General features: G+C 37.0%; 2 annotated features.

The window, feature by feature from the left end:
- Positions 11692–12292: an enhancer, noted in NCBI's record as "NANOG-H3K27ac-H3K4me1 hESC enhancer chr3:88557975-88558575 (GRCh37/hg19 assembly coordinates)". NCBI's record gives its function as "activates a minimal SCP1, AML or CMV promoter by ChIP-STARR-seq in naive H9 embryonic stem cells {active_cell/tissue: H9 hESC(naive)}" and the evidence as "EXISTENCE:reporter gene assay evidence [ECO:0000049][PMID:30033119]".
- Positions 12293–12893: an enhancer, noted in NCBI's record as "NANOG-H3K27ac-H3K4me1 hESC enhancer chr3:88557374-88557974 (GRCh37/hg19 assembly coordinates)". NCBI's record gives its function as "activates a minimal SCP1, AML or CMV promoter by ChIP-STARR-seq in naive H9 embryonic stem cells {active_cell/tissue: H9 hESC(naive)}" and the evidence as "EXISTENCE:reporter gene assay evidence [ECO:0000049][PMID:30033119]".

Raw genomic sequence — 13947 nt, 5'->3', positions numbered from 1 at the left:
TTTATAGCAGCACAATTTACAATTGCAAAAATATGGAACCAGCACAAATGTCCATCAATCAAAAAGTAAATAAAGAAAATATGATATATATATACACAATTATATAAATATTTGTGTATATATATATTTGTATATATATACACAATTATATAAATATTTGTGTATATATATATTTGTATATATATATATATATACACACACACAAACATCATGAAATCCTACTCAGGCATAAAAAGGAATGAAATAATGGCATTTGTAGCAAGCTTAATAGAATTGGAGACCATTATTCTAAGTGAAGTAACTAGACAATGGAAATCCAAACATGGTAAATCCTCAGTCATACGTGGGAGCTAAGCTATGAGGACACGAAGGCGTAAGAATGATACAATGGACTTTGGGGACATGGGGGAAAGGGCGGGAGGGGAATGAGGAATAAAATACTACACAATGGGTACAGTATACACTGCTTGGGTGATAGGTGCACCAATATCTCAGAAATCACTACTAAAGAACTTATTCATGTAATCAAATACCACCTGATCCCAATAAACCTATTGAAATTTTTTAAAAATGTTAAAAAGACCTCAAATTAACAACCTAACATCACACTTAGAGCAACTAAAACAATAAGGACAAACCAACCACAAAGCTAGCAGAAGAAAAGAAATAACCAAAATCAGAGATTAACTGAATGCAATAGAGAGGTAAAAAAAAACACACAAAAAATCAATGAAACCAAAAGCTGGGTTTTTTTATGGAAAAATAAATAATATTGATAGGTCACTAGGAGACTAATAAAGAAAAAAAAGGAGAAGCTACATAGAAAGCAATCAGAAATGGCAAAGAGAACATTACCACTGACCCCATAAGAATGCAAAAAATCTGCAGACAATTATGAATACCTATATGCACACAAACTAGAAAACCTAGAAGAAACTAATAAATTCCTGGAAACATATGACCTCCCAAGATTGAACCAGGAAGAAATTGAAACTCTGAACAGACCAATAACAAGTTCCAAAATTGAATCAGTAATAAAACCAGAAAAAGCCTACTAACCAGAAAAGCCAGGACTAAACAAATTCACAGCCAAATTCTACCAAATATATAAAGAAGAACTAGTACCAATCCTACTGAAATTATTCCAAAAAATTAAGGAGGAGAGATTTTCCCTAACCCACTCAATGAGGCCAGCATTATCCTGATACCCAAACCTGGCAGAGAAACAACAAAAACAGAAAACTTCAGGCCACCATCCCTGATGAACACAGATATGAAAATCCTCAACAAAATACTAGCAAAGGAAATCCAGCAGCACATCAAAAAGCTAATCTACTGTGAACAAATAGGCTTTACTTCTGGGGTGCAAGGTTGGTTCAACATACACAAATAAATAAGTGTGATTCATCATGATATGGTTTGGCTCTCTGTCCCCACCCAAATCTCACCTTGAATTGTAATAATCTCCATGTGTCAAGGGCAGGACCGGGTGCAGATAATTGAATCATACATATGGTTTCCTTCATGCTGTTCTGATGATAGTGAGTGAGTTCTCATGAAATCTGATGGTTTTGTAAGGGTTTTATAAGAGTGCCCCCTTTGCAGCCAGCTGCGGTGGCTCATGCCTGTAATTCCAGAACTTTGGGAGGCCAAGGTGGGGGGATCATCTGAGGTCAGGAGTTCGAGACCAGCCTGACCAATATGGAGAAACTCCGTCTCTACTAAAAATACAAAATTAGTCAGGCGTGGTGGCGCATGCCTGTAATCCCAGCCACTGGAGAGGCTGAGGGAGGAGAATCACTTGGAACCAGGAGCCAGACATTGTGGTGAGCCAAGGTCGTGCCATTGCACTCCAGCCTGGGCAACAAGAGTGAAACTCCATCTCAAAAAAAAAAAAAAAAAAAAAAAAAGAGTGTCCCCTTCACTCAGCACTCACTCTCTCTCTCCTCCTGCTCTGTGAAGAGGTGCCTTCTGCCATGATTGTAAGTTTCCTGAGGGCTCCCTAGGTACACAGATCTGTCAGTCAATTAAACCTCCTTTCTTTATAAATTAGCCAGTCTTGGGTATTTCTTTATAGCAGCATGAGAACAGACACATTACATAAACAGAACTAAAAACAAAAACCACATGATTACCTCAATATATGCAGAAATGGCTTTCAATAAAATTCAATATATCTTTGTGTTAAACCCTCAACAAACCAGGCATCAAAGAAAAATACATCAACATATTAAGAACTATCTATGATAAACCCACAGCTAATGTTATACTAAATGAGGAAAAACTGGAAGCATTCCCTTGGAACTAGAATAAAACAAGGATGTCCATTATGACTCCTATTCAATATAGTACCAGAAGTCTTAGCCACAGCAATCCAGCAAGAGAAAGAAATAAAAGGCATGTAAATAGGAAGAGAATAGTTATATTATCTCTTTTCACAGAATATTATTTCATGCCTAAAAAACACTGTAGCCCTGCCCAAAAGCTCCTAGATCTGATAAACAACTTCAAAGTTTCAGAATTCAGTAGCATTTCTGAAAAACCAACAACATCCAAGCTGAGAGATGAATCAAGAACACGGTCCCATTCACGATAGCCAGAAAAAGAATAAAATACCTAGGAATACAGCTAACCAGTAAGGTGAAAAATCTCTACAATGAGAATTATAAAACATGGCTCAAATAAGCACAAATAAATAAATAAATATTCCATGCTCATGGATAGAAAAAAATCAATATTGTTAAAATGGCCATACTACCCAAAGCAGATTCAATGTTGTCTCCATCAAACTACCAAAGACATTTTTCACAGACTTAGAAAAACCTATTCTAAAATTCATATGAAACCAAAAAAGAGCCTGAATAGCCAAAGCAATCCTAAGAAAAAAGAACAAAGACAGAGACATCACACTACCCAACTTCCAACACTACAAAGCTATAGTAACTAAAACATCATAGTACTGGTACCAAAACAGACACATAGACCAATGGAATGGGTTAGAGAATCCAGAAGTAGAGCCACACACCTATAACATATGATCTTTGATGAAGTAGACAGTAACAACCAATGGGGAAAGAACTCCTTATTCATTAAATGCTGCAGGGATAACTGTTAAGCCACATGCAGAAGATTGAAACTCAACCCTTCCTTTCACCATATACAAAATCAACTCAAGGTGGATTAAGGACTTAAAACCTAAGACTATAAAAACTCTAGAAGGAAACCTAGGAAATGCCATTCTAGACATTGGCCCTGGCAAAGATTTCATTACACAGACACCAAAAGCAATTGCAACAAAAGCAAAAATTGGAACATGGGACTTAATAAAACTAAAGAGCTTCTGCAGAGCAAAAGAAACTATCAACAAAGTAAACAGACAACCTACAGAATGGGAAAAAATATTTGCAAAGGATGTTCCAACAAAGTTCTATAACCCAGAATCTATAAGGAACTTAAGCAAACTAACAAGCAAAAAAATAACATCAATAAAAAATGGGCAAAGGACCTTAACAGCCACTTCTCAAAAGAAGACACACACATGGCAAAAAAGCATATGAAAACTGTTCAACTTCACTAGCCATTAAAGAAATGCAAATGAACACCACAATGAGATGTACCTCTAACACCAGTGAAGATGCTGGTGAGGTTGTGGAGAAAACAGATTGATTATACACTACTGGTGGTAATGTAAATTAGTTCAGCCACCATGGAAAGTAGTCTGGAGATTTCTCAAAGAACTAAGAGTTGAACTACCATTCAACCCAGCAATCCCATTACTGGGTATAAACCCAAAGGAATGTAAATCATTCTACCATAAAGACATGTGCATGTATATGTTCATTGCAGCACTATTGACAATAGCAGAGACATGGAGTCAACCTAGATGCCCATCAATAGTGTACTGAATAAAGAAAATGTGGTACATAGTTCCCATGGAATACTACATAGCCATAAAAAGGAAAGAGGTCATGTCCTCTGGAGGAACATGGATGGAGCTGGAGGCCATTATCCTAAGTGAATTAATGCAGAAGCCAAAAACCAAATACCACGTGTTCTCACTTTTAAGTGGGAGCTAAATGATGAAAATACATGGACACAAAGAAGGAAACAATAATTACTGGGTCCTGCTTGAGGGTGGAGGGCAGGAGAAGTGTAAGATTTCAAAATGTTTATTACACAGGTGAAGAAACCCCCACACACAACACACAATTTACCCATGTAACACACATGCACATGTACCCCTGAGCTTAAAATAAAAGTTAGACAAAAAAAGGAAATAACTATAAATACAAAAGTTAACTCTTTCTCTCTATGTATGTACATATAAATATATATGTGAATTCCAATACAAATATTTTGAAAGTCAACAATAAAATGCAGAAACACAATAGAAAAATAAAATGAGTATGAAACTTACACATAAAAAGCAAAATTTTAAAAGATAATACAAATATAAAGAGATTATCAGCATCATTTTAAGCAAACAAAAGTAAAAATTCTAAAACATGCTCATTTTTACTGTCTAATTAGCAAAATTTAATAGTGAATTATTACCAGGAGCTGATGAGGATGTAATGACAAGAATAGCCCCTTAGGCACTGCCAATGATGGCATGGAAACTAGTCAGGCATTTTGTAGTAGTTTGGAGGCATGCATTGGATATGAATAAACAGTACAGTCCTGCAATTCCACCCCCACATTATACTTTTAGAGATTTCTCTCAGCGTTGAATAAGTAGCCATGGGGATGATAATCTTTGCTGCATTATTTTAGTAACAAAGAGTTGGAAACGTCAATGTCAACTCAGCAAAGTGGCTAGATAAATGTGGTAGCTTCAAATAATGAAATTATGAAAGATAATTTAAAATGAATGGTATTTATCATTCTGGAAGAATTTGTAAAACATAATAAAGAAAGAAGAAACAAGAGAATACTTAGCACCTATATAAATTAAATAAGCAAGAGTTGGAAATGGAGGGGAAGATAATAAGATTAGGGAGAAGGAAATAAAAGAAACAAAAGTAAAACAAAATGAAAACACAAAAGAGATAATGCATGGATTCATAGCATGTCCAAACTAAACTATTTCTCATTAAACCTTCTAGAAATATATTTTTCATCTACCAGTACATTATATGTACTTTTTGTGTAAAAAGGATATTTTATATAATTTTCTGAGCCTTGTTTTTTTTAACATGTTATAGATAGCTTTCTCTATCTGAGCATAGAGAATTTTGTTGTTTTCTAAGGAACTGTATTTCTTTCCACTATACAGACTAATCAAAATTTACTTAATAATTCCCTTAGTGGTGGACATTTAGATTATTTGTTCCTTTTCAAAACAATGCTATGATGAACATTTTATAATATTTTTGTAAATGTATGAAACATAACTGTACTTTGCTTACTTAAATAAATATAACTGTAGAATAAATGCCTAAACTTTGAATTGCTGAGTTTAAAATTATTTAAATTCTAATTTTGGCAAATTTTACCAAATTATTCCATAAGTTTTATATCACATGGAAAAGATCTTTTTATTTGAAAATTGTGAAGAAACTTTTCTATTTCTTTGGCACATTTATGGTTTCTTTTTTATATTTAAATCTCTGAGCCATCTGGAATTTATTTTAGTATAAAGAAAGAAGTTGAGATATAACTTTATTGGGGTAGCCAGTTGCCCCAGCTAGGACTAAATAAACAATATATTCCCACATTTTCTATCTATTACATCTTTCTCTGGATTTTAGTCTCTCATTTATTATCCTTCTCTCAACACAGAACTTAATATTATAACTTTATGTTGTGTATCTAAATGTGGTTGTTCTAGTTCTCTCTCATAAATATTATTTGTATAGTTTCCCTTATATTTTTCTCATGACTGTTTTTCCTCATGCATATAGCATAATTGTATCACATTTGAGAAAAACTGTGTTAGTATGTGGATCACATTTTATTTGGATCACATTTGATGTGGAGCACATTTTATTTATTGACTACTACACAAATAATTTAAACAAAAAATACTGAATATTTTCAAACAAGAAAAAGATATGCATTACATATTTTCATCTTCTTTTATATCCTGAAACAGTTGTAAAATTTCTTCATCTAAATATTTTAAAGTTCTTGTTAGGTTTATTTCTAGATATTTTATCTTTTAATTATTTTTATAAATAACATTGTTCCATTCTATTTCTAAATGGTTGTTGTATAATAAGAAAGATAGTTTTTATATATTAATTTTGAGAACAACTAACTTACCAAATATTTATAATATCTCATAAATTTTCCAGTCATACAATCATATTATATGTACTAAGAATAATAATTTTACATTTTTCTTCCAATTTTGATATTTATTATATCTTTATTTTGACAATTGACATTGGCAAGAATTTTTAAAACAATGTTAACTAGTAACAGTGGTAGGGAATACTCCAATTATTCATTGTTATATAATAAACCACCTGAAAAGAGTGTATAAAACACCATCATTGGTTTTCCCTCACAGTTGTGTCGGTTTTCTCAGCTTGATGGGAAGTTCTGCTTGTGTTACTTAAGGTTGCTCATGCAGTTGCCCTCAAATTGTAGTTGGAGCTGGAGTTGTCTGGAGACCTGATGGGGATACTATAGCAGTGGGTTTCTCTTGTATCCATGTATTCATAAGCCCTTTCCACTGGCCATATTCTCGCAACATATTCCCTCCTGCAGTGATGTTATACTTCTTACATGGTGGCTCAAAGCTCTCCAAAGTGCAAAAGTAAAAGTGGCCTAGATCCTCTTAAGACTTAAGCCTGCAACTGGCTAAGAATTACTTCTATCACCTTCTATTAGGTAAACAGTCACTGGGTCACCCAGATTCGATTGACGGTAAAATAAACTTGACCACTCAAGGCAGAAGAATATGCTGTCATCTTTAAACCTATTAGTCAGCCTTTTGCCTACAATTATTTATACTCCTGTCCCATGTAAAGTACACTGACCTCCCTCCAGGACCCTGAACAATTTTATCAGATGTTCTAACTTCAAGAAATCATTAAAATGAGATATGAATGTGGCTCAGGCTCCTGAGAAGGAGTTACTCTTGAACTATGATCCTTAGAATTAAGAGGTACATTTTTATCTTCGTGTACCCAGGATGCAGCTTTCTTGTGCATCAGGTATAATATACTCAAGCAGACAAAAGTCACACCTACGTAGCTTTTTCATTTAGGCCCCACTCTCCCTTGAACTGAGAGTTGAAGTACTGTAGAACCACACCACTAGGATTCTTAGAAGCCCTATTTTCTAGCAGACAGAGGCTGATAAGCAGCATCTTATATTTCTTATATTATTCTGAAGTACTAATAGAGCCTTATATCTGCAAGCTCCATATCCGAATTCACAGTTTTTTCTTTCCAGTGCCATAAATTTGATCTTTTCTTGAAATTATTTTTGTTTTATTATTATTATACTTTAAGTTCTGGGATACATGCGCAGAACGTGCAGGTTTGTTACATAGGTATACACATGCCATTGTGGTTTGCTGCAGCCATCAACCCGTCATCTACATTAGGTATTTCTCCTAATGTTATCCCTCCCCTAGCCCCCGACCCCCAGACAGGCCTCACTGTGTGATGTTCCCCTCCCTGTGTCCATGTGCACTTGTTGTTCAAGTCCCACTTATGAGTGACAACATGTGGTGTTTCGTTTTCTGTTCCTGTGTTAGTTTGCTGAGAATGATGTCTAGCTTCATCCATGTCCCTGCAAAGGACATGAACTCATCCTTTTTTATGGCTTCATAGTATTCCATGGCGTATCCATGGAATACTATCATTGATGGGCATTTGGGTTGGTTCCAATCTATCATTGATGGGCATTTGGGTTGGTTCCAAGTCTTTGCTATTGTGAATAGTGCTGCAATAAACATACATGTGTGTGTGTCTTTATAGTATATCCTTTGGGTATATGCGAAGTAATGGGATTGCGGGATCAATTGGTATTTCTGGTTCTAGATCCTTGAGGAATTGCCACACTGTTTTCCACAATGGTTGAACTAATTTATACTCCCATGGTAGTTCTATTTTAAACATTTTGAGGAAACTCCATATTGTTTTCCATAATGACTGTAATAATTTACATTCCCATGATTAGTGTGTAAAATGTTATCTTTTGTCTGCATCCTCACCAGCGCTCATTATTTTTTGTTTTTTAGATAGTAGTCATTCTAACTGGTATGAGGTGATATCTCATTATGGCTTTGATTTGCCTTCCCTAGTGAAATTGAATACTGTTTAATATGCCTGTTGGCTATTTCCAGATTTTTTATTTTGAAAAATATTTATTCAGGTTCTTTGCCCGTTTTTTAATTGGGTTGTTTTTTGCTATCGTTTGGAGTTCCTTATATAGTTTGGATATTGATCTCTTACCAGATACAAGGCTTGCACATATTTTCTCCCATTCCAAAGGTTCCTTTTTTACTCTGCTAATTGCTTCTTTTGCTGTGCAGAATATTTTTATTTGAGGTAGTTCTATTTAATCTACTTTTACTTTCATTTCCCATGATTTTAGTGGTATAGATAAAAACATCATTGCCCAGACAACCGTTAATAAGCTTTTTCCCTGTGCTATCTTCTAGTAGTTTGCTGTTTCGTGTCTCACATTTAAGTCTTAAATCCATTTTAAGTTTATTTTTGTGCACAGTGTGAGATAAGTATCCAATATCATTCTCTTGTGCATAGTGTGAGATAAGTATCCAATATCATTCCAATATCATGTGAATATCCCATTTTCCGTATACTATTTATTGAAGAGATCATTCTTTCCCCACTGTGTGTTCTTGGCACCCTTGTTAAACATCAGTTGACTATAAGTGTGTGGATTTACTTCTTGTTGTGTTTTATCTGAATTTGGTATCAGAGTGATGATGGTGTCAAATGAGTTTGGAAGTGTTTACTCTTCTGTTTATTTTTGTAATAGTTTAAGAAAAAATGATATTAATTATTCTTTGAATGTTTGGTAGAATTCACCAGTGAAGCCATCTGGTACTGGGTTTTTATTTGTTGGAATGTTTTTGGTTACTGATTCAATCTTTGCATTTGCTACTTCATTTTTTGAGACAGAGTCTTGCTCTGTTGCCCAGGCTGGAGTGCAGTGGCACGGTCTCGGCTCACTGCAACCTCCGCCTCCCGGGTTCACGCCATTCTCCTGTCTTAGCCTCCCAAGTAGCTGGGACTACAGGCACCCACCACCACGCCTGGCTAACTTTTTGTATTTAGTGGAGACGGGTTTTCGCCGTGTTAGCCAGGATGGTCTCGATCTCCTGACCTCGTGATCCGCCCGCCTTGACCTCCCAAAGTGCTGGGATTACAGGCGTGAGCCATCGCGTCTGGCCTACCTGACTAATTTTTTATATTTTTTTGGGGAGACAGGGTTTCATCATGTTTCCCAGGCTAGTCTTGAACTCCTACTCTCAAGCAATCTGTCCATGTTGGTCTCCCAAAGTGCTGGGATTACAGGGATGTGCCACCATGCCTGTTAGTCTTGAGAGTTTTAAAAAATTCTTTTTGATTTTCTCTTTGACCCAATGGTTGTTAAAAAATGTATTGTTTAGTTTCCATATATTTGTGAAATTTCCTGTTTACTTATTGTTACTGATTTCTAGTTTCATTCCATTGTGGTTGTAAAAGATACTTGAAATGATTTTGATCTTAAATGTTGTTAAGTCTTGTTTTGTAACCTAGTTATTAATCTATCCTGAAGAATGTTTTCTGTGTTGTTAGAAGAATGCGTATTCTAATGCTTTTGGGTGGAAAGTTCTGTATATGTCTATTTGTTTTATTTGGCCCATAGTTTTGTTCAAGTTAATGGTTTATTGATTTCTGTCTGGATGTTATATACATTATCTAAAGTAAAGTACTGAGTCTCCCACTAGTCGATTTTTCCCTTTGGATCTTGCTTTATATATTTAGGTTCTCTAATGTTAGGTGTGAATATGATTATAATTATTTTATCTCCCTGTTGAATTGACCCTTTTATCATCATATTATGACCTTATTTGTCTCTATAAAGTTTTTGCTTAAATTCTATTTTGTCTGATATAAAAGTAGATACTCTTGATTTCCTTTGATTACCATTTTCATGGGATATCTTTTTCCATCCTTCACTTTCAGTGTGTGTGTGTCCTTAAATATATAGTGAGTCTTCTGAGACAGCATATCACTGCTTATTGCCTTGTTTTGTTTTCTTAATCCTTTCTGCCACTTTATGCCTTTTGATTGGAGAGTTTTATCCATTTATATTTAAAGTAATTATTTCTCACAGCTCTGAAGGCTGGATAGTCCAAGATTAAGGTGCTTGCAAGGTAGGTTCATTTTGAGACATCTTTTGGCTTATAGGCAGGTGTCATCTCTATGTGCTCACATAGCCTTTCCCCTGTGTGTAAATGCATGAAGAGAGAGGGAAATGTCTTTTCCTGTTTCTTCTTACAAACTCACCTACCTTATCAGGTTAGGGTCCCACTTTTATGATCTCATTTAACTGTATTTCCTTATAAATTGCATCCAACTACAGTCATATTGGGAAATTGGGGCTTCAACAAATGAATTTGGAGAAGCGAGAGATTCAGTCCACAGCATATTAAATAATGCACAAAGCTGAAGGTTTGTGCCCTAATATAATAATATAATAAAGAAGACACATCCATATAACTAACAACTTGCCAAAAATTAGAACATTACCAGTTCCTCAGATATCCCTTTGAGCCAATTCTGAAGCTATCCACCATTCCCCCCAAAGGAAACCACCATCTTGATTCTAACACCAAAGATTAGTTTTCTCAATGTTCATATTCTTTCTATCTCGCTTTATTTTTCCTCAATATTATGCTGATTTGATATATTCATAATGTTGCTGAAACAATATGATGTTATTTTAGTGTTGTTTAGTGATCCATCATTAGAAGAAACAAAATCACAAGATATAATTTTGGATTTATCGTGTGGTCAATATTTGCCATTCACTCTTCCCAAGACTGTTGAATTTTAAGATAGTAATCAAGTCTAACTTTACATATTTTATCTCCAGATCTTTGTATTCTGATTGGTCCACAGTTGACACTGGATGAGTATTTGGTGAATGAAGAATCAATTAACTCTCTTTGGGAGATAGGATAGGATAGACGTCTATGGTTTCAATTGTCAGATCCATGTGTATTTCTATGTGCTTTAATCTTCATTTTGCCAAATGAGAAGGAAACTCCAAGAGGAATAGTACAGGGAATAGGGATGCCTTTAAAGCTGTAGAGTTGCTTTCATTTCCCAGTTGGATGTTTGCTTAGGCAATGGCTTATCAGATCAGACTCTGTGCTACGTGAGCAGGAAGGAAAGGAATTAGGCAGGTGGCAGGGATGAGAGAATGGCATGCAGTGGAGCAGTGCACATTCTCATCATGTGCTGTGATCAGCATGTGAGAGTTTCCTTTTATTCAAGGAACACAACCAAAGATACCCAAACATCAGCTCCGGTAACTATACTTCACAATAGAGTACCAGTCAGTGGGTAGAGGAAACCTGGTGAATCTTGCATAACTAGTCAGGTATAAGTTGAATCCCATTTGAGGTGGGCTTCAGGGCTTTCCAGATAACTCAAAAGTGAAACAACCGCCAGCTATTTGATGCTTGACATTCACAGAAGGTACTGATGAACAGGTTAGTGTAGATGCAGCAATACAGTAATGACCAACACTGAAGGTTAAAAAAAAAATGATCCTGCAGCCCTGAGAAGTAGGTTCTTAAAGAAGGGGTGTTCCTGTGAATCAAAGTAATAGCATGATCACTTTGTCTATATTAAAGCAACCATGGGTCACTGCAAACCTGAAATTGAGATTGAAATTAAAATTTCCAATTGGACTACAGTTTTAATAACTATAAGAATGCAAAACATTATAGATGATTCCAGAGGTGATGGTACAGAAAAAAAATATTCAGCAGTTATGGTTAAAAATCAATCACTAGGGGGAGGAGCCAAGATGGCCGAATAGGAACAGCTCCCGTCTACAGCTCCCAGCGTGAGTGACGCAGAAGACGGGTGATTTCTGCATTTCCATCTGAGGTACCGAGTTCATCTCACTAGGGAGTGCCAGACAGTGGGCGAAGGTCAGTGGGTGCACGCACCGTGCGCGAGCCGAAGCAGGGTGAGGCATTGCCTCACTTGGGAAGCTCAAGGGGTCAGGGAGTTCCCTTTCTCAGTCAAAGAAAGGGGTGACAGATGGCACCTGGAAAATCGGGTCACTCCCACCCGAATACTGCGCTTTTCTGATGGGCTTAAAAAACGGCGCACCACAAGATTATATCCCACACCTGGCTCGGAGGGTCCTACGCCCACGGAGTCTCGCTGATTGCTAGCACAGCAGTCTGAGATCAAACTGCAAGGCGGCAGCGAGGCTGGGGGAGGGGCGCCTGCCATTGCCCAGGCTTGCTTAGGTAAACAAAGCAGCCGGGAAGCTCGAACTGGGTGGAGCCCACCACAGCTCAAGGAGGCCTGCCTGCCTCTGTAGGCTCCACCTCTGGGGGCAGGGCACAGACAAACAAAAAGACAGCAGTAACCTCTGCAGACTTAAATGTCCCTGTCTGACAGCTTTGAAGAGAGCAGTGGTTCTCCCAGCACGCAGCTGGAGATCTGAGAACGGGCAGACTGCCTCCTCAAGTGGGTCCCTGACCCCTGACCCCCGAGCAGCCTAACTGGGAGGCACCCCCCAGCAGGGGCACACTGACACCTCACACGGCAGGGTACTCCAACAGACCTGCAGCTGAGGGTCCTCTCTGTTAGAAGGAAAACTAACAAACAAAAAGGACATCCATGCCAAAAACCCATCTGTACATCACCATCATCAAAAACCAAAAGTAGATAAAACCACAAAGATGGGGAAAAAACAGAACAGAAAAATTGGAAACTCTAAAAAGCAGAGCACCTCTCCTCCTCCAAAGGAACGCAGTTCCTCACCAGCAACGGAACAAAGCTGGATGGAGAATGACTTTGATGAGCTGAGAGAAGAAGGCTTCAGACGATCAAATTACTCTGAGCTACGGGAGGACATTCAAACCAAAGGCAAAGAAGTTGAAAACTTTGAAAAAAATTTAGAAGAATGTATAACTAGAATAACCAATACAGAGAAGTGCTTAAAGGAGCTGATGAAGCTGAAAACCAACACTCGAGAACTACGTGAAGAATGCAGAAGCCTCAGGAGCCGACACGATCAATTGGAAGAAAGGGTATCAGCAATGGAAGATGAAATGAATGAAATGAAGTGAGAAGGGAAGTTTAGAGAAAAAATAATAAAAAGAAATGAGCAAAGCCTCCAAGAAATATGGGACTATGTGAAAAGACCAAATCTACGTCTGATTGGTGTACCTGAAACTGATGGGGAGAATGGAACCAAGTTGGAAAACACTCTGCAGGATATTATCCAGGAGAACTTCCCCAATCTAGCAAGGCAGGCCAGTGTTCAGATTCAGGAAATACAGAGAACGCCACAAAGATACTCCTCGAGAAGAGCAACTCCAAGACACATAATTGTCAGATTCACCAAAGTTGAAATGAAGGAAAAAATGTTAAGGGCAGCCAGAGAGAAAGGTCGGGTTACCCTCAAAGGGAAGCCCATCAGACTAACAGCGGATCTCTCGGCAGAAACCCTACAAGCCAGAAGAGAGTGGGGGCCAATATTCGACATTCTTAAAGAAAAGAATTTTCAACCCAGAATTTCATATCCAGACAAACTAAGCTTCATAAGTGAAGGAGAAATAAAATACTTTACAGACAAGCAAATGCTGAGAGATTTTGTCACCACCAGGCCTGCCTTACAAGAGCTCCTGAAGGAAGCACTAAACATGGAAAGGAACAACCAGTACCAGCAGCTGCAAAATCATGCCAAAATGTAAAGACCATCAAGACTAGGAAGAACCTGCAT

Source organism: Homo sapiens, chromosome 3 (genome assembly GCF_000001405.40).
Source record: "Homo sapiens chromosome 3, GRCh38.p14 Primary Assembly".
NCBI lineage: Eukaryota > Metazoa > Chordata > Mammalia > Primates > Hominidae > Homo > Homo sapiens.
This window is presented reverse-complemented; position numbering and strand designations above follow the sequence as displayed.